At 51.6% G+C, this 20,824-nt stretch overlaps 2 non-coding genes across 2 annotated transcripts, besides 1 other annotated feature; both read right to left on the reverse strand.

The window, feature by feature from the left end:
* Positions 1-53: 53 nt before the first annotated feature.
* On the reverse strand, positions 54-136 carry LOC124900483 (small Cajal body-specific RNA 18). Its single transcript, XR_007068173.1, has one exon.
* Positions 137-221: 85 nt separating this feature from the next.
* Positions 222-364, reverse strand: LOC124905172 (small Cajal body-specific RNA 17). The gene has a single exon (XR_007068176.1).
* Positions 13,122-13,624: an enhancer, noted in NCBI's record as "H3K4me1 hESC enhancer chr22:21756985-21757487 (GRCh37/hg19 assembly coordinates)". NCBI's record gives its function as "activates a minimal SCP1, AML or CMV promoter by ChIP-STARR-seq in primed H9 embryonic stem cells {active_cell/tissue: H9 hESC(primed)}" and the evidence as "EXISTENCE:reporter gene assay evidence [ECO:0000049][PMID:30033119]".

The following is a 20,824-nucleotide window of genomic DNA, read 5'->3' on the forward strand; positions in this document are numbered from 1 at the left end:
AAATGTTTTCCTGGCTGAGGAAGGGAGGGTGCACCCTTCTGCTTTTTTTTTCCTGGCTGCAGTCTATTCCCAGAACACATTCCATCACATGGTTCCCAGAACTCAGATTGTGCGGTGGCCACGTCATCATTGGCTGGGGCTCACAGTCACAGCAGCAGAGGCCTCCCTAAACCTCCCTCTCCTCTAGCCCCACCCGCTGTCCCCTGCTCCTCATGCCCCCATGCTGTGTCCCCTGGCCTCACTTCCGTTGCCATGTTTTCATAATCCTCTCAGGCTCTGGGCAGCAGCGCTGCCCACAGTAGGACCAGATCATGTAAGGAAAATACTGCAGGCTCATCTTGGGGCTGCACTGGGGACCTGAGAACACCTTATCCTACTGTACGTGCGGCACCTCATCTGACACCAGCTTCTCTGCTTTGCCCAAGGTCCCTAGGCCCTGAATGCTTACTTTTTAAGGTCAGCCTGGCTCAGGATATGCTAGTTTGGCTGCAGAGGGTCCTACTAAGAGCCAGGACTGAGGAGCAAGGCCCAAAAAACTCCTCTGGGCCACATCTTCCCCGAGGGCATCCCCGCAGGGAGGCCGTGTGCTGCTGAGCCCTTTGCTAGGAGTGGGTAGTCAGTGTCTCCCACATGACGATCTTGCTTCATTCAGATAGCTTTCGTAGCTCACTGCTTTTCTGAGTCACTTCCTGTGAGGGATCACCTTGGGATGGCATTTCTTTTCCTTTTTTTTTTTTCTTTGGAGACAGAGTCTCGCACTGTCACCCAGGCTGGAGTGCAATGGCACAATCTCGGCTCACCACAACCTCCGTCTCCCGGGTTCACACAATTATCCTGCCTTAGCCTCCCGAGTAGCTGGGATTACAGGTGCACACCACTACACCTGGCTAATTTTTTGTATTTTTAGTAGAGACAGTGTTTCACTATGTTGGCCAGACTAGTCTCAAACTCCTGACCTCGTGATCCGCCCGCCTCAGCCTCCCAAAGTGCTGGGATTACAGGCGTGAGCCACTGCGTCCGGCCTTCTTTTCCGTTTTTTTTTTTTTTTTTTTTTTGAGATGGAGTCTTGCTCTGTTGCCCAGGCTGGAGTGCAGTGGTGCAATCTCAGTTCACTGCAAGCTCTGCCTCCCGGGTTCACGCCATTCTCCTGCCTCAGCCTCCTGAGTAGCTGGGACTACAGGCGCCCGCCACCACGCCTGGCTAATTTTTTGTATTTTTACTAGAGACGGGGTTTCACTGTGTTAGCTAGGATGGTCTCAATCTCCTGACCTCATGATCCGCCCACCTCAGCCTCCCAAAGTGCTGGGATTACAAGCATGAGCCACCGCGCCCGGACCTTTCCTTTTTTTGAGACAGAGTCTTGGTCTGTTGCCCAGGCTGGAGGGCAGTGGCACAATCACAGCTCACTGTAGTCTTGAGCTTCAGGGCTCAAATGATTCTCTCACCTCAGCCTCCCAAGTAGCTGGGACTACAGATGTGCACCACCACACCTGGCTAATTTGGTGTGTGTGTAGAAGCAGGGGTCTCACTGTGTTGCCCAGGCTGGTCTCAAACTCCTGGGCCCAAGCAATCTGCCTGCCTCAACCTCCCAAAGTGCTGGGATTACAGGCCTGAGCCACCACACCTGATGCCTGGCTAATTTTTAAATTTTTTGGTAGAGATGGGGTCCCACTATGTTGCCCAGGCTGGTCTGGAACTCCTGCGCTCAAGTGATTCTCCTGCCTTGGCCTCCCGAAGTGCTGGGATTACAGGCCTGAGCCACTGCACACAGAGGGCATTTCTTTATTTGCCCCATTTTGCAGAAGAGCTTCCTGAGGCTCAGAGAGGCCCCTCATCTAAGGTCACATCATGGCTCAAAGTCACCTCCTCCATAGACTCCCCAGGCTGCCCCTCTGGGAGGGCGGGAATGAGGGGTGGTCTTTATCCTTCTCTCCCTCTCTTTGATACCCTTTTGTTTCCCCACGTCCAACAACACTGTCAGAGGAAAGACACTTCCAGAATACCCAGGTAAAAAAAAAAAAAGAGACAATAAGGAAAGGACACTGCCTTCTCCGGTGTCATCAGAAATGATTGAAAGAGGCCGGGCGCGGTGGCTCACGCCTGTAATCCCAGCACTTTGGGAGGCCAAGGTGGGCAGATCACGAGGTCAGGAGATCGAGACCATCCTGGCTAACACGGTGAAACCCCATCTCTACTAAAAATACAAAAAAATTAGCTGGGCGTGGTGGCGGGCGCCTGTAGTCCCAGCTACTCGGGAGGCTGAGGCAGGAGAATGGCATGAACCCGGGAGGTGGAGCTTGCAGTGAGCCGAGACTGCACCACTGCACTCCAGCCTGGGTGACAGAGCGAGACTCCGTCTCAAAAAAAATTAAAAAATAAATAAATAAATAGGCCGGGTGCCATGGCTCACACCTGTAATCCCAGCACTTTGGGAGGCTGAGGCAGGTGGATCACAAGGTCAGGAGTTCAAGACCAGCCTGACCAATACAGTGAAACACTGTCTCTACTAAAAATACAAAAAAATTAGCTGGACGTGGTGACATGCACCTGTAGCCCCAGCTACTTGGGAGGCTAAGCAGAAGAATCACTTGAACCCGGGAGGCAGAGGTTGCAGTGAGCCAAGATAGCGCCACTGCACCCCAGCCTGGGCGACAGAGAAAGACTCCATCTAAAAAATAAATAAATAAATAAATCACATTAAAAATAAACTTAATTTTTTTTAAAATTTAAGTTTAAAAAAGTAGGCCAGGTGCGGTGGCTCACGCCTGTAATCCCAGAACTTTGGGAGGCCGAGGTTGGTGGATCACGAGGTCAGGAGTTCAAGACCAGCCTGACCAACATGGTGAAACCCCATCCCTACTAAAAATACAAAAATTAGCTGGGTGTGGTGGTGGGTGCCTGTAATCCCAGCTACTCGGGAGGCTGAAACAGAGAATTGCTTGAACCCTGGAGGTGGAGGTTGCAGTGAGCCAAGAATGCGCCACTGCACTCCAGGCTGGTGACAGAGTGAGACTCCGTCTCAAAAAAAATAAAAATAAAAAATCACTGGGCATGGTGGCCCGCGCCTATAGTCCCAGCTACTCCGGAGGCTGAGGCAGGAGAAATGCTTGAACCCAGGAGGTGGAGCTTGCAGTGAGCCGAGATCGTGCCACTGCACTCCAGCCTGGGCGACAGAGCGAGACTCCATCTCAAAAAAAGAAAAGGAAGGAAGGAAGGAAGGAAGGAAGGAAGGAAGGAAGGAAGGAAGGAAGGAAGGAAGGAAGGAAAGAAGGAAGGAAGGAAGATTAAATGTCAATGGCTCATACTTGTAATCTCAGCACTTTGGGAGGCGAGGCAAGTGGATCGCTTGAGCACAGGAATTCAAGACCAGCCTGGGCAACATGTTGAAACCCCGTATCTACTAAAAATACAAAAATTGGCCTGATATGGTGGTTCACACCTATGGTCCCAACTACTCGAGAAGGTGAGGTGGGAGAATCGCTTGAGCCTGGGAAGCAGTGGTTTCAGTGAGCCAAGATTGAGCTACTGCACTCCAGCCTGGGTGACAGAGTGAGACCCTGTCTCAAAAGAAAAATAAAATAAAATAAATGACAATGTAAAGGCAAATTTTGTCTATAACAACATCATAATAGGACATTGAATTATTACAGTGCAGTTGTTATAATTAAGTTTACAATAGAATATTCATGGCTGAAACCCAGACAAACTAAAATCACCAACTGCTTACAAACCAACTGCTTACTAGTGAAAACCCAAATAGGTAAGGCTTTTTTTTAGCAGTGAGTCTCTGCTCAGTGAGGACCTGGGCACCCTCATTTTTTTGAGTCTTGGTATTTCTTTCCATCTGAAAGGATGGAGCGGATGTGTGGATCCCCAACGTTTTCAGTTCTTCCACCTGGTCCTCATTCTGTCATGGCGTGATCATGGCTCACTGCAGCCTCAACCTCCAGGGCTCAAACCATCCTTCCCGCTCAGCCTCCTGAGTATCTGGAGGCATGCGCCACCACACCCAGCTAATTAATGTGTGTGTGTGTGTGTGTGTGTGTGTGTGTGTGTGTGTAGAGATGAGGAATTCTCGCTATGTTGCCTAGCTTGGCTCCAACTCCTGGCCTGAAGCCATCCTCCTGCCTCTGCCTCCCATGGAATAGTTGATTGTTGTTGTTGTTGTTGTTTTGAGATGGAGTCTCACTCTGTCACTCAGGCTGTGGTGCAGTGGTTCGATCTTGGCTCACTGCAGCCTCCTGGGTTCAAGCGATTCTCCTGCCTCAGCCTCCTGAGTAGCTGGGCCTGCAGGTGCATGCCACCATGCCCAGCTAATTTTTTTTTTCTTTTTTTTTGAGACAGAGTCTCACTCTGTCACCCAAGCTGGAGTACAGTAGTGTGATCTCGGCTCATTGCAACCTCCGCCTCCTGGTGCAAGTGATTCTCATGTCTCAGCCTCCCAAGTAGCTGGGATTACAGGCATGCACCACCATACCCAGCTAATTTTTTGTATTTTAGAAGAGACGGTGTTTCGCTATGTTGGCCAGACTGGTCTCGAACTCCTGACCTCAGATGATCTACCCGCCTTGCTCCAAAACTGCTGGGATTTCAGGTAGGAGCCACTGCACCCGGCCTATGGAATAGTTTTCAATGCCTTGTCTAGCTAGGGATCATTGAACATGTTGTATGCGGGGTAGACTGCAGCTGCAGGATCTGTACCAGGGTGTTGGTGAAGACGCAATGGGGTTGCCCCAGCGTCCTTGAGAAAGACTACCACCTTGTGGCCGGGCGCGGTGGCTCATGCCTGTAATCCCAGCACTTTGGGAGGCTGAAACAGGTGGATCACGAGGTCAGGAGTTCGAGACCAGCCTGGCCAAGATGGTAAAACCCCGTCTCTTCCAAAAATATTTTAAAAATTATCTGGGTGTGGTGGCTCGCGCCTGTAATCCAAGCTACTCAGGAGGCTGAGGCAGAGAATTGCTTGAACCCGGGAGGCAGAGGTTGCAATGAGTCGAGATCATGCCACTGCACTCCAGCCTAGGAGACAGAGTGAGACTCTGTCTCAGAAAAAAAAAAAAAAGCAAAAACCTACCACCTTGCACTTCGTTCAACAGAGTGTCCAGTTGCTCCACAGAGCCTGCACTCCACAGTCTGCCGCCACCCGTGCCACACTCACAGCAAAGCAGAGTTCCCACTGCTCAGCCCAGGGACCTGCTCAATCCTGCTCGCTCACTGGAGCCCTTGACGGACTGGGACCTCGGCTGGCAGGTCTTTGGCTTCCTTCCCTTAGCATAATGTCCTTGAGCTTCATCCATGTTGCAGCATGTGTCAGAATTTCCTTCCTTTCATGAATAATTGTTTAAGGCCAGGGTGGTGGCACAAGCCTGTAGTTCCAGCACTTTGGAAGGCCAAGGTGGATGGATCGCTTGAGCCAAGGAGTTGGAGACCAGCATGGGTAACATGGCAAAACCTCATCTCTATTATTATTATTTTTATTTTTATTTTATTTTATTTTATTATTATTTTTTGAGGTGGAGTTTCGCTCTGTCGCCCAGGCTGGAGTGCAATGGCACGATCTTGGCTCACTGCAAGCTCCGCCTACCGGGTTCACGCCATTGTCCTGCCTCAGCCTCCCAAGTAGCTGGGACTACAGGCGCCCACCAGCACACCCGGCTAATTTTTTGTATTTTTAGTAGAGACAGGGTTTCACCATGTTAGCCAGTATGGTCTCGATCTCCTGACCTTGTGATCTGCCCGCCTCGGCCTCCCAAAGTGCTGGGATTACAGGTGTGAGCCACCGTGCCCGGCCTATTATTATTATTTTGAGACAGAGTCTTGCTCTGTCACCCAGGCTGGAGTGCAGTAGTATCATCTTGGCTCACTGCAACCTCCGCCTCCCAGGTTCAAGTGATTCTCCTGCCTCAGCCTCCCAAGTAGCCAGGATTATTGGCCGCCCGCCACAATGCCTGGCTACTTTTTTTGTATTTTTAGTACAGACAGGGTTTCACCATGTTGGCCAGGATGCTCTCTAACTCCTGAACTCAGGTGATCTGCCTGCCTTGGCCTCCCAAAGTGTTGGGATTACAGGCGTGAGCCACTGCACCTGGCCTTCATCTATTTTATTTATTTTATTTTATTTTATTTTATTTTATTTTTTTTTTATTTTATTTTATTTTATTTTATTTTATTTTATTTTATTTTATTTATTTTATTTTATTTTTTGAGACAGGGTCTTGCTCTGTCTCCCAGGCTGGAGTGCAGTGGCGCTATCTTGGCTCACTGCAGTCTCCGCCTCCCGGGTTCAAGCGATTCTCTTGCTTCAGCCTCTCGAGTAGCTGGAACTAGAGGCATGCGTCACCATGCCCAGCTCAGGTTTGTATTTTTAGTAGAGGCAGGGTTTCACCATGTTGCCCAGACTGGTCTCGAACTCCTCACCTCAAGTGATCCACCCACCTTGGCCTCCCAAAGTGCTGAGATTACAGGTGTGAGCCACCACACCCGGCCTCATCTCTATTATTTTAAAAAACATATTTTTTGGCCGGGTGCAGCGGCTCACACCTATAGTTCCAGCACTTTGGGAGGCCGAGGCGGGTGGATCACAAGGTTAGGAGTTCCAGACCAGCTTGGCCAATACGGTGAAACCCTGTCTCTACTAAAAATACAAAAATTAGCTGGGCGTGGTGGCGCGTGCCTGTAGTCCCAGCTACTTGGGAGGCTGAGGCAGAAGAATCACTTGAACCCAGGAGGCGGAGGTTGCAGTGAGCTGACATCATGCCACTGCACTCCAGCCTGGGCGACAGAGTGAGACTCTGTCTCAAAAAAAATCCCATATTTTTTAATTGTTTAAAATTATTATTAATATTTATTTATTTTATTTATTTATTTTTTTTGATGGAGTCTCGCACTGTCACCCGGGCTGGAGTGCAATGGCGTAATCTCGGCTCACTGCAACCTCCGCCTCATGGGTTCAAGTGATTCTCCTGCCTCAGCCTCCCAAGTAGCTGGGATTACAGGTGCCCGCCACCACGCCTGGCTAATTTTTTTCTATTTTTAGTAGCGACGAGGTCTCACTATGTTGGCCAGGCTGGTCTTGAACTCCTGACATCATGATCCGCCCACCTCGGCCTCTCAAAGTGCTGGGATTACAGGCATGAGCCACTGCACCTGGCCTATTATTTTTTTCTTGTTTTTTTATTTCCATATTTTTTTTTCTTCTTCTTCTTACTTTTTAAAAGTTTTATTTATTTATTTATTTATTTTTTGAGACAGTTTCACTCTGTCACCCAGGCTGGAGTACAGTGGGGTGATCTTGGCTCACTGCAACCTCCGCCTCCCAGGTTCAAGCCATTCTCCTGCCTCAGCCTCTCGAGTAGCTGGGATTACAGGTGCCCACCACCATGCTCGGCTAATTTTTTGTGTTTTTAGTGGAGATTGGGTTTCACCATGTTGGCCAGGCTGGTCTCGAACTTCTGACCTCAAGTGATCCACCCCGCCCCCACCTTGGCCTCCCAAAGTGCTAGGATTACAGGCGTGAGCCACTGCACCCGGCCTATTTCTTTTTTATTTTTATTTTTATTTTTATTTTTATTTTTTGGAGATGGAGTTTCACTCTTGTTGCCTGGGCTGGAGTGCAACGGCACAATCTCAGCTTACTGCAACCTCACCTTGCGGGTTCAAGCGATTCTCCTGCCTTAGCCTCCCGAGTAGCTGGGATTACAGGCACACACCACCGCGCCCAGCTAATTTTGTATTTTTAGCAGACATGGGGTTTCTCCATGTTGGCCAGACTGGTATCGAACTCCCGACCTCAGGTGATCCGCCCGCCTTGGCCTCCCAAAGTGCTGGGATTATAGGCGTGAGCCATCGCGCCTAGCCAATTATTATTTTTTAAGAGACTGGGGTCTCACTATATTTACCAGGATGGTCTCAAACTCCTGGCCTCAAGAGATCCTTCCGCCTCAGCCTCCCAAAGTGCTGGGATTACAAGCATGAGCCATTACGCCAGGTCTTTATCTAGGTTTTTCTATTGTCTGTATTTCATCATCCAACCATCCCCTACCAGAGTGTGCCTGGCCAATTTTCTTCCCTTCTTCCACCACACGTTTCTTTTTGTTTGTTTGTTTGTTTGAGACAGTGTCTCACTCTGTCACCCGGGCTGGAGTGCAGTGGCATGATCTTGGCTCACTGCAACCTCCACCTCCTAGGTTCAAGCGATTCTCATGCCTTGGCCTCCAGAGTAGCTGGGATTATAGGCATGTGCCACCACACCTGGCTAACTTTTGTATTTTCAGTAGAGAGGGGGTTTCCCCATGCTGTCTGTGCTGGTTTCCAACTCCTGGCTTCAAGTGATTCGCCTGCCTCAGTCTCCCAAAGCGCTGGGATTATAGGTGTGAGCCACCACACCTGGCCTCCTTCCTTTTTAAGGCTGAATAATAGTCCATTGTGTGTATGTAATGCATTTTGTTTATCCATTCATCTGTCAATGGATACTTTGGTCGTTTCTACCTTTTAGCTATTGTGAATAATACTGCTGCTCTCCTTTACACTTTTTCAAAGCACTAGATCCCTGATGAGCCCACAGCCTAGAAATGGAGTCTGAGCACAGCAAGCCACAAGACAGCTGCTTCTGCCGAGAGGACAGCCTGGGACCTTTTGGGTCAGGGGCAAGAGACTTGGAGGTTGGCAGGCTGCTCTCTGACTGAGAAGTGGGGACAAGTATGGTTCCCACACACTAGGGAAGCAATGACAGACTAGCAAGAGAATAGAAACTTTAATTCATGCACTCTCAGGCCAGGCATGGTGGTGCAGACCTGTAATCCCAGCACTTTGGAAGGCCAAAGTGAGCCACTGTGCCCTGTTGTGTTTTGATTTTTGAGACAGAATCTGGCTGTCACCCAGGCTGGAATGCAGTAGCACGATCATAGCCTCAACTTCCTGGGCTCAAGTGATCCTCTCACCTCAGCCTCCTGAGTAACTGGGACTACAGGTGCATGTCACCACACCTAGCTAATTTTTCTTTTTTTTGAAACATAGTCTTGCTCTGTCACACAGGCTGGAGTGCAGTAGCACGATCTAGGCTCACTGCAACCTCTGTCTCCCAGGCTCAAGCAATTCTCTTGCTTCAGCCTCCCGAGTAGCTGGGATTACAGGCATGCGCCACCACGCCCAGCTAATTTTTGTATTTTTAGTAGAGACGAGGTTTCACCATGTTGGCCAGGGTGGTCTCAAACTCCTGACCTCGGGTAATCTGCCCACTTTGGCCTCCCTAAGTGTTAGGATTACAGGCATGAGCCACCATGCCTGGCAATTTTTTTGTACAGATGGAATTTTGCCATGTTGCCCAAGCTGGTCTCAAATTCCTGGGCTCAAGCAATTCACCTACCTTGGCCTCCCTACAGGCATGAGCCACTGAGCCTAGCCTCCAGCTAATTTTTACATTTTTTGTAAAGACAGGGTCTTGCTATGTTGCCCAGGCTGATCTCAAACACCTGGCCTCAAGAGATCCTCCTGCTTGGCCTTTCAAAGCACTTGGATTATTGGTGTGAGCCACCACTTCCCACCTAGCCTGTTCCATCACTTTTTACTTAATTTCACAACTTTCCCTGACCATTGCCTCAAATCAGCTTTTTTTCTGACAGCTGCGTTGTAGTCTTTGTCAGAGTTATGAGGGGCACCCCCACTCTTCACTCCAGCCCCCACCTGTTTTATTTTCCTCCATAACCCTCATCACCCCCCAGCATGTTACCTAGGTTTTTATCTTTTTTTTTTTTTTTTTTAATTAAGACAAGGTCTCGGCCAGGCTCAGTGGCTCACGCCTGTAATCCTAGCACTTTGGGAAGCCGAGGCGGGTGGATCACGAGGTCAGCAGATCGAGACCATCCTGGCTAACACAGTGAAACCCCGTCTCTACTAAAAATACAAAAAAATTAGCCAGGCGTGGTAGCGGGCGCCTGTAGTCCCAGCACTCAGGAGGCTGAGGGGCGCCTATAGTCCCAGCTACTCGGGAGGCTGAGGCAGGAGAATAGCATGAATCCGGGAGGCGGAGCTTGCAGTGAGCCGATCGCGCCACTGCACTCCAGCCTGGATGACACAGTGAGACTCCGTCTCAAAAAAAAAAAAAAAAAAAGACAAGGTCTCACTCTGTCACCCAGGCTACAGTATGGAGTACAGTGGCGCAACCACAGCTCACTGCTCACTGCGGCCTTGACTTCCTGGGCTGTCGATCCTCCCACCTAAACCTCCCAAGTAGCTGGGACTGTAGGCATGAGCCAACATGCCTGGCTAATTTTTGTATTTTCCGTAGAGACAGGGTTTCGTTCAAGCCACTGCACCTGATCGTGTGTTTTGGGCAACTCTGGGAGCAGTGGCACAGGAAAGAAGAAAGGGACTGGGGACAGGTGCCAACCCATCAGCTGGTGTGGACCTCCTCCCCCTGGGAGGGTTACAAGTCCAGGGAGGAGGACCTCATGCTGCCGCCAGGGGGCAGCCTAGGTGCACTTAAGGGTCATTCTCCAGGGGCTGCACACCTGGCAGAGCTGCCTGGGCCACACCTGCCTGCCCAGTGTAAGGGGGAATAGGAAATACTGTATCTTTTTGACCAAGCAGGCCTGGAATCCACACCCCACCCGACCAGCCCCATTCTCTCCCTCCCTTCTCCCCAGAGCACCCTAGGCAGCCCACCCCCCACATAACCGAGAGGGGCTGTCCTTCCAGGGGAGCAGGGACCAGTGTCAGGCCCGGTCATTCTGACACCCACCCACAGAAAGATCTCCTTCTTCACCCCTCTGGCAGCCCTGCTCCCCTAAATCCTCAACTTCAGAGGCCATGGGCAGTTTTAAAGAAGCATAAGGCTGGAGAGGCAGGGCCACAGAGCCACTGGGCTCCAGAACCCAGTCACTGGATCCAAATGCCAGCCTGCTCACAGACAGCTGCAAGGCCTCTCTGAGCCTCATGTTCCCAGACTGTGGCAGAACTGGTTTTGTTTTGAGCAGGTCAGGTGTGCAGAACACTTGGCCTGGTGTCAGGACCCCGAGAAAGACCCAGACAGCTGATGAGAAGGGGGGCGTCATGGCTTGTGCCTGCAATCCCAGCTACGGCGGAGGCAGAGAGGGGAGGATCACTTGCGACCAGGAGTTCGAGACAAGCCTAGGCAACATGGTGAGACTCTGTCTCTACAAAAAAAATTTAAAACAGGCCGGGCGCGGTGGCTCACGCCTGTAATCCCGGCACTTTGGGAGGCCGAGGCGGGTGGATCACCAAGTCAGGAGATGGAGACCATCCTGGCCAACACGGTGAAACCCCGTCTCTACTAAAAATACAAAAAATTAGCGGGGTGTGGTGGCACGCACCTATACTCCCAGCTACTCAGGAGGCTGAGGCAGGAGAATTGCTTGAACCCGGGAAGCAGAGGTTGCAGTGAGCTGAGATCGCACCACTGCACTCCAGCCTGGGCGACAGAGCGAGACTGTGTCTCAAAAAAAAAAAGAAAAAAGAAAAAAAAAGAAAGCTGATGAGGGCACAGGTCGGGGGTGGGGGCAAGGGAGCACAGTTCTAAGCCCCAGCTTGGCTCCCCGTGCAGAGCCCTGAGAATCTGGAGACTTTCAGCAGAAGGGAAGGCCGCACAGGTCTAGCAAGTTGGCAGGCTGCTGGGGGGTAGGGGTGGGCTGGGAAGGAGGTGGATGCCTGGCTGTGGCCTGCACCAGGCCCCTTCCCTGACTGACTGCACGACCTGGAGGCCCAAAACCTGTCCAGTCCAGACCTGCCCAGGAGGGGAACGAGCGGGGATGGGCAGCCCAGCCGGCCCGAAGGCAGAGGAGCCTAACGAGTGGGCGAAGGGGCGGTGTCCGGAGAGTTCTGGTGCAAGGGTCACTAAGCCTGTCCAGGCCCCATCCACCCCTGCCCAGGCGCCTCTGGCCCATCTGCCCCCTCCACCTCTAGCTGACCTGCCCCCTCTCGCTCACTGCGGCTATGGATTTTGAAAGCATGAGGCTAACTGATCAATTTCAGAGTCATTGTAAAAAATCTGGAGAAGATTTCACAAGAACACGATATGAAAGATACGACTTTTTAAAAGCTCAGAGATATCTCTGCAGCCTATTTTAAGCTCATTCCACCTTCTGGTCACACCCTACTCTCCCTGTCTCACTACTGGGGTGGTTGAATTTGGAGGCTGGGTGGGGTGTGCAGGAGGTCAGGTGTTCCATCTGAGGCGGAACAAGATGGGCCAACTCTAGTCTTGTGAAACAAAGCACATTGCCAGGTGGAGCTGGCTCCAGGAACCTAGGCACAGAGGGTTCCACACACGGTGGCATTGCTGACACCGCAGCCGGCCGCACAGGTCCTGCCGGCCTCCAGGCTCAGCCCCACCTGTCCCTGTCTTCGGTGCTGGGTGGGGTCTATAATGGGTTGTTCCCCCAGGCTGGAATGCTCTGTTTGGAAGATCTCCTAAACATCCCCCGCCCACAGGGCCCATCCACCCTCCCCATAAAGCCCTAGCCCTCACTATCTATATCTGATATCCACAGGCTTCTGTGCCGTCTTTTTGCCCTTTCACGGGGTCCCTAGAAGCCCCAGTAAATCCTCCTGTCACTGACGGCCTGGCTGGTTGTACCTACCTTGGTGGAACTCCAGGACCTGGGCCTCAGTCTTAGGGTTGCCACGGTGCACAGCCTCTTGGTCAGGGTGCTTTGGGTCGAAGGTGCCCTCCTGAGGGCAAAGTACCTTCCTGCCCGGCCTGAGAATGGAGTGGGGGCTGAATGTGAACCCTGGCCCACTCACTTCTCAGTTGAGAGACCTCAGGCAGTTCCTTTGTTTTTTGACTTTCAGCCTCAATTTCCTCTTCCCTAAAATTGGCCTTCCAGCTGCCCTGTGCCTACAGCCAGCTCACTCCCAGGTATCCTTTGAAAGCACCCTCCACCACCTCTTGCAGGCAGCCTTCCCCATTCTCCCCTCCCTTACAGGATTTAGCTACCCCTCCCACGTGCTCGGACAGCCCTTAGGCATAATCCCAAAACGCACCCAGGAATTACTCATTCATCCTGCTACCTCTCCCTTCAGACTGTCTTACTCCACCCTGCACCCTGAATGCAGGTACCTGGACCTGGCATGGACCAGGCAACGGGATTTGTGGACTAACCCATTTCCAACTTAGGAAAGGCACCAACCAGCTCGTGAATGAGAAGCACTAGACTGAGGCTCTCAGCGGCCATACTTCCCCTGGAAAACTGACCTTTCCTGAGCTCACATATTGCTCAGCACAGCATACCCAGCTAGTTTAATTATTTCCCCCTTTTACATAGGGAATAACTCAGATTTGGAGAGGGGTGTGGTCATTTAGCAGGTTGGGGGCAGAGCTGGGGGCCCGAACCCAGGTGTGTCCCTTTGACCAATGCCCTTATCTATAGGATTCCTTCCCCCACCCTGGGGCAGGGCCTGGGTCTAGGGAGGAGGCCAGAGGGAGAGATAGGAATTCAAATTGGTGGTGCTGGTGGTGGGGGAAGGCGAGGCCCTGGGAGTGGCCAGCACTCAGGGCTTGGGCAACAGGGTGCTCTGCAGAGCCACTGGGTGGGGGGAACAGCAGGGGCAGGCACAGACCTGCTGAGTCAGAGACGCCGCAGGGACTCCAGGGGGAGGTGTTTGGCAGATGGCTGTGGGCTGGGGCCCGGCAAAAGCACCACAGGGTGGTGGGTCAAGGAGTAGAATTGGGTGCTGAGGCCCTAGCCAGGACCAGGGGATGTAAGAAGGAGGAGGCCTTGGAGAGGGCAGGGGGCAACGTTTTCCAGAAGGAGGGAGTGGTCAGTCTCCACAAGGTCAGGCGAGATAAGCGCTACTGCACCCAGCCTCCCTCATGACTGTGACCAGAGGCTGTTGCCCCAGCTCAGGGGCTTCCTAGCATCTTGGCCATGAGGGATATGTGTAGCCCCCGCCCCACCCCCCGCCATCTGAGGCCCTGCTGGGCCCTGGTGATGGAGGAAGGCTCCCCAGAGAAAAGTAGGAAGATAGAGTTTGCAAATTCCATGCCATTAGGCCTTGGTCCACTCCCACCCTCTTTTTATTATTATTATTATTATTATTATTATTATTATTTTATTATTTGTTTTTTTTTTTTGAGACGGAGTTTCGCTCTTGTTGCCCAGGCTGCAGTGCAATGATGTGATCTCAGCTCACTGCAACCTCTGCCTCCCAGGTTCGAGAGATTCTCCCAGGTCAGCCTCCCAAGCAGCTGGGATTACAGGCGCCTGCCACCACGCCCGACTAATTTTTGTACTTCTGTAGAGACAGAGTTTCACCATGTTGGCCAGGCTGGTCTCGAACTCCTGACCTCGAGTGATCTGCCTGCCTCGGCCTCCTAAAGTGCTGGGATTACAGGCGTGAGCCACCACGCCAGGCCCTCTTTTTATTTTAGACACAGGGTTTCACTCTGTTGCCCAGGTTGGAGTACAGTGGTGCTATCATAGCTCACTTCAGCCTCAACCTCTCCAGGCTCAAGCAATCCTCCCACCTCAGCCTCCCAAGTAGCTGGGACTACAGGTGCCACCACCACGCCTGGCTAATTTTTTAAAAAGTTTTTTGTAGAAACAAGGTCTTGCTATGTTGCCTAGGCTGTTCTGGACCTCCTGACTCTGTCTCCCAAAGTGTTGGGATTACAGGTGTGAGTTCATTGCACACAGCCCATCCCTTTCACTACAGGAGGCAAGCCAGAGCCCCAAAGAGGTTCTTGGTGCCTCAAGAACCCTGTTCCTCAGCCCAGATTGAGGAGGGGATGTGTTTTCTCCACTCCTGCCCCACCTCCAAACTGCTAGAGAGGAACCTCAGCAGGGAAATGAAGCATTGCTTCACCTTGCCTCTACCTCTGGCCCTGGGGTACCCTCTCTGTCCACTTGACCCCCACTCCTCCAACCACTGAGGCTGTGCTGACCTTCTGCCTGCTCCATCCTGTAACTACCTCACATTCACACAACCCAATGAAGTAGATATGGCTCTGAGTTCCATTTCACAGGTATGAAAACTGAGGTCCATAGAAGTCAGTTCTAGGGCGTCTGGCCTAGTGGCACAGCCAGGACTTTTTTTTTTTTTTGAGACCAAGTCTCGCTCTGTCACCACACTGGAGTGTAGTGGCACGATCTCAGCGCACTGCAACCTCTGCCTCCCGGGTTCAAGTGATTCTTCTGCCTCAGCCTCCGGAGTAGCTGGGATTACAGGTACGCGCCACCGTGCCCGCCTCGGCCTCTGAAAGTGGTAGGATCATAGGCGTGAGCCACTGAGTTCGGCATTTTTTTTTTTTTTAATTTTTGGACTTTTTTTTTTGGAGACTGAGTCTCTGTCACCCAGGCTGGAGTGCAATGGTGCGATCTTGGCTCACCGCAACCTCTGCCTCCCAGTTTCAAGTGATTCTCTTGCCTCAGCCTCCCGAGTAGCTGGGATTACAGGCATGTGCCACCACGCCAGGCTAATTTTGTATATATATGTATATTTTTTTTTTAGTAGAGATGGGGTTTCACCATATTGGTCAGGCTGGTCTCCAACTCCCGAACTCAGGTGATCCGCCCACCTCGGCCTCCTAAAGTGCTGGGATTACAGGCGTGAGCCACCGCGCCCGGCCGGATTTGGTTCCTGGTTCGACTATCTCCCCATGGGTTTCACCGAGAAACAGCCCTGCTGGCCCTTGTCTCCACCTATCACAGAAGAACAACTGGGTCCCCTCCTTTACCCATCCTGGGGCCACTGTATCCTACACACAGACCCCAGAAGACAGACCCTGCCAGTCTAATGGTGGAGACAACTCTGAGATCAAATGGCACGTGGCAGATTGATCAGGAGCAGGAGACCCAGGACCTGGGAGAGACAGAGCACTGAATTCACAAACTACCCCAAGCAGAGGGCAAGCAAAGCTCCCTAAGAAAGTGGAGCCAGGCCAGACACGGTGGCTCACGTCTATAACCCCAACACTTTGGGAGGCCGAGGCCGGTGGATCATGAGGTCAAGAGTTCAGGACCGGCCTGGCCAAGATGGTGAAACCGTGTCTCTACTGAAAATACAAAAATTAGGCCGAGCACGGTGGCTCACGCCTGTAATCTCAGCACTTTGGGAGGCCGAGGCCAGCGGATCACGAGGTCAGGAGATTGAGACCATCCTGGCTGACACGGTGAAACCCCGTCTCTACTAAAAATACAAAAAATTAGCCGGGCATGGTGGCGGACACCTGTAGTCCCAGCTACTCGGGAGGCTGAGGCAGGAGAATGGCGTGAACCTGAGAGGTGGAGCTTGCAGTGAGCCGAGATTGCGCCACTGCACTCCAGCCTGGGTGACAGAGCAAGACTCCATCTCAAAAAAAAAAAAAACACAAAAATTAGCTTGGCATGGTGGTAGGTACCTGTAATCCAGCTACTGAGGAGGTTGAGGCAGAGAATCACTTGAACCCAGGAGGCAGAGGTTGCAGTGAGCCGAGATGGCACCACTGCACTCCAGCCTGGTCGACAGAGCGAGACTCTGTCTCAAAAAAAAAAAAAAAATAGCTGGGCATAGTGGTGCACACCTGTAGTCCCAGCTGCTTGGGAGACTGAGGCAGGAGGATCCCTTGAGCCCATGAGTTTGAGGCTGCAGTGAGTTATGATTACACCACTGCACTCCAGCCTGGATGACAGAGTGAGACCCTGTCTCTAAGAAACAGATAAAAATACAAATAAAAAAGAAAGAGCATGGCCAGGTGCGGTGGCTCAAGCCTGTAATCCCAGCGCTTTGGGAGGCCGAGGCTGGTAGATCACGAAGTCAGGAGTTTAAGACCAGTCTGGCCAAGATGGTGAAACCCTGTCTCTACTAAAAACACAAAAATGAGCCGGGTGTGGTGGTGGGCGCCTGTAATCTCAGCTACTCGGGAGGCTTGAGGCAGAGAATTGCTTGAACCCAGGAGGCCGAGGTTGCAATGAGCCAAGATTGCGCCATTGCACTCCAGCCTGGGGGCGACAGAGTGAGAATCTGTCTCAACAAAAAAGAAAAAGAGGCCAGGCGTGGTGGCTCAAGCCTGTAATCCCAGCACTTTGGAAGGCCGAGGCAGGCGGATCACAAGGTCAGGAGATCAAGACCATCCTGGCTAACAGGGTGAAACCCCGTCTCTACTAAAAATACAAAAAATTAGCCAGGCGTGGTGGCGGGCGCCTGTAGTCCCAGCTACTCGGGAGGCTGAGGTGGGAGAATGGCGTGAACCCGGGAGGCGGAGCTGGCAGTGAGCCGAAATCGCGCCACTGCACTCCAGCCTGGGGGACAGAGCGAGACTCCAAAAAAAAAGTGGCCGGGCGCGGTGGCTCACTCCTGTAATCCCAGCACTTTGGGAGGCCAAGGGGAGTTGATCCGGAGGTCAAGAGATTGAGACCATCCTGGCCAACCAATATGGTGAAACCCCGTCTCTACTAAAAATACACAAATTAGCTGGGCGTAGTGGTGCACACCTGTAGTCCCAGCTACTCAGGAGGCTGAGACAGGAGAATTACTTGAACTCAGGAGGCGGAGGTTGCTGTGAGCCAAGATGGTGCCACTGCACTCCAGCCTGGGTGACAAAGCGAGACTCTGTCTCAAAAAAAAAAAAAAAACAAAACAAAAGAGCAGCCAGAGAAAACCACACTAGGAGTGACCTTAGAGCAGGCACTGAAGAACAGCAAGGCATGGCAGGCAGAGGGCATGGCAAGGGCACGGCCCCTTCCTTGGCTCCTCAGACCAGGGAAGTCAGTTCCCCTCTTATGACCAGACAAAGCAGCCTGCACCTTTTTGCCCAGCCCCAGCACCCTTGTGAGTATTCTGTCATCTTCTCCTTAGTCTGTGGGCTTCTGAGGCCAGGGAACACATCTGTGCTGTTCACTAGCCCAGTGCCCACCTCATCATTGCTGTCAGCATCTGTTGGTTGAATGACAGTTCCATGAGTGGCCTCCCTTGGGCTCAAGGTGCCTGGCTCTGCTAGGGGTGAAGGAGTGGTGACTTGACAGGGAGGTGTGTGGTGAGGAGCGGGGCACCCATCACAGGCCTGGCCTTTGCTATAGGGAATAGGCTTGCTGGGGATGCATTCTTCAGATGGTGTTCCTAAGAGGGTGAACTGAGCTCATGTCAGTCTGAGGGGCTGGAGTCTGAGGTTAGCTACGGACCTTGGGCAGGTGACTTAACCTCTCTAACCTTGGTTTTCTACTGGGTCTTGCCCTGTCATCATGGCTAGGCTGCAGTGATGCAATCTCAGCTCACTGCAGCCTTGACCTCCTGAGCTCAAGCTATTCTCCCACCTCACCCTCCTGAGTAGCTGGGACTTCAAGCACTCACCACCATGGGCCTGGCTTTTTTCTTTTTTGTATTTGTAGAGACAGGGTTTCGCCATGTTGCCCAGGCTGGTCTGTAACTCCAGGGCTCAGCTGACCCACCCACCTCAGCCTTCCAAAGTGCTAGGATTACAGGCATGAGCCACCACCCCTGGCCTCATTCATTTGACTTTCATTTTCGTTTTTATTATTATTTGTTTTAGACTCAGGGTCTCACTCAGTCTCCCAGGCGGGAGTGCAGTGGTGTGACCTTGGCTTACTGCAGCGTCAAATTCCTGGGCTCAAATGATCCTCCTGTCTTAGCTTCTGAGTAGCTGGGACTATAGGTACATGCCACCAAGCCCGGCTAATTTTTTTTTTTTTTGAGGCCGCGTCTGGCTGTTGCCCAGCTATAGTACAATGGCGCAAGTATAGCTCACTGCAACCTCGAATTCTTGGGCTCAAGCAATCCTCCCACCTCAGCCTCCCAAGTAGCTAGTACTATAGACGAGTGCCACCATGCCCGGCTAATTTTAAAAATTTTTTGTAGAGATGAGATGTCACTGTTTTGCCCAGGCTGGTATCAAACTCCTGGACTCAAGCAATCCTCCCGCCTTGGCTTCCCAGAGTGCTGGGATTATAGGCGCCAGCTACCATGAGTGGTCTCATTTGACTTTTTTTTTTTTTTTTTTTGAGACAGAGTCTTGCTCTGTAGCCCAGGCTGGAGTGCAGTTGCATGATCTCACCTCACTGTTACCTCTGTGTCCCGGGTTCAAGCAATTCTCCTGCCTCGGCTTCCCAAATAGCTGGGATTACAGGCGTGCATTACCACACCCAGCTATTTTTTTTTTTTTTTTTTTTTGTATTTTTAGTGGAGACAGGATTTCATATGCTGGCCAGGCTGGTCTCGAACTCCTGACCTCAGGTGATCCTCCTGCGTCAGTCTCCCAAAGTGCTGGGATTACAGGCGCGAACCACTGTGCCCGACTTCATTTGACTTTTTTTGTTTTTTGAGATGGAGTCTTGCTCTGTTGCCCAGGCTGGAGTGCAATGGCGCAATCTTGGCTCACTGCAACCTCTCCCTCCCGGGTTCAAGTGATTCTCCTGCCTCAGCTTCCCGAGTAGCTGGAATTACAGGTGCCTGCCACCACGTCTGGCTAATTTTTGTAGTTTTAGTAGAGATGGGGTTTCACCATGCTGGCCAGGCTGGTCTCGAACTCCCAACCTCAGGTGATCTACCCGCCTTGGCCTCCTAAAGTGCTGGGATTACAGGCGTGAGCCACTGCACCTGGCCCCTCATTTGACTTTTAATTGAGAACCTACTTTGTGCCATGTATAAGCTGGATACAAGAGTGAACAAGACCAAGCCTTCCTGCCCTCATGCCAACTGCTCAGCAGTATTTCAGGACTGTATCAGGGTGATTAGCCTGGGATCACAGGAGACTTCCTACAAGAGATGATGTCTGAACTGAGTTGTTCACCAGGCACAGGTGGGAGAAGGGAGAAGGCTGGCCTGGACAGGAGGAGCCCTGGTGTGAATGCCCAGAGATGGCAGGAGAAATCATGGCGTATATAAGGTGTCTTGAGCTTGGGATATGGGAAGGTGAGAAGTGATATTGTATGGGACATACTTTTTTTTTTTTTTTTGAGACGGAGTCTCGCTGTCACCCAGGCTGGAGTGCAGTGGCACGATCTCAGCTCACTGCAGGCTCCGCCTCCTGGGGTTCACGCCATTCTCCTGCCTCAGCCTCCCGAGTAGCTGGGACTACAGGCGCCCGCCACCGCGCCCGGCTAATTTTTTGTATTTTTAGTAGAGACGGGGTTTCACCGTGTTAGCCAGGATGGTCTTGATCTCCTGACCTCGTGATCCGCCCGCCTCGGCCTCCCAAAGGGCTGGGATTACAGGCGTGAGCCACCGCGCCCGGCCGGGACATACTTATATTAAGCATTATTGGTTGTTTATCCGAAATTCAAATTTGGGCATACTGTTAAATGCTAAATCTAGCTGTCATAGTAAGAAGCTGAAATTTACTGTTTGGGGGTATTTTGTATATTTGTTTTCTTTCTGTTTTTTATTGAAAACAGATAATGGTAAAATAACAGACCCTTCCTACATGACACAACAATCATAGTCACTGTACCAGGGCTCACCAGAGCCTGAGTTCCGTGCTCTGCCTGCTCAACCTCCTGTCATTCAAGCCTCCCAAGGGGGTGGTGCCCTGATTCCCAAATGGATGAGGAAAGCAGATCATAGTGGTTAGATCTTGGACTAGACACACAGAGAATCCGGAGGGAGTGAGGACACAAAATGAACCCATTTCTGGCGGGTCTTCCCATCCCTGCTAATCTGTAGTTTTTATATTTCCATATTACCTTCCGCCCAGATCTAGCTTTACTGGGTTGCTGCCAGGGAGAACAAATTTTTGAAATCTGCTATTTTATTTATATTAATTAATTAATTAATTAATTACTTTAAGACGAGGTCTCGCTCTGTTGTCCAGCCTGGGGTGCAGTGGCATGATCTCAACTCACTGCAACGTCTGCCTCCCTAGTTCAAGTGATTCTCC

Source organism: Homo sapiens, chromosome 22 (assembly GCF_000001405.40).
Source record: "Homo sapiens chromosome 22, GRCh38.p14 Primary Assembly".
Lineage (NCBI taxonomy): Eukaryota > Metazoa > Chordata > Mammalia > Primates > Hominidae > Homo > Homo sapiens.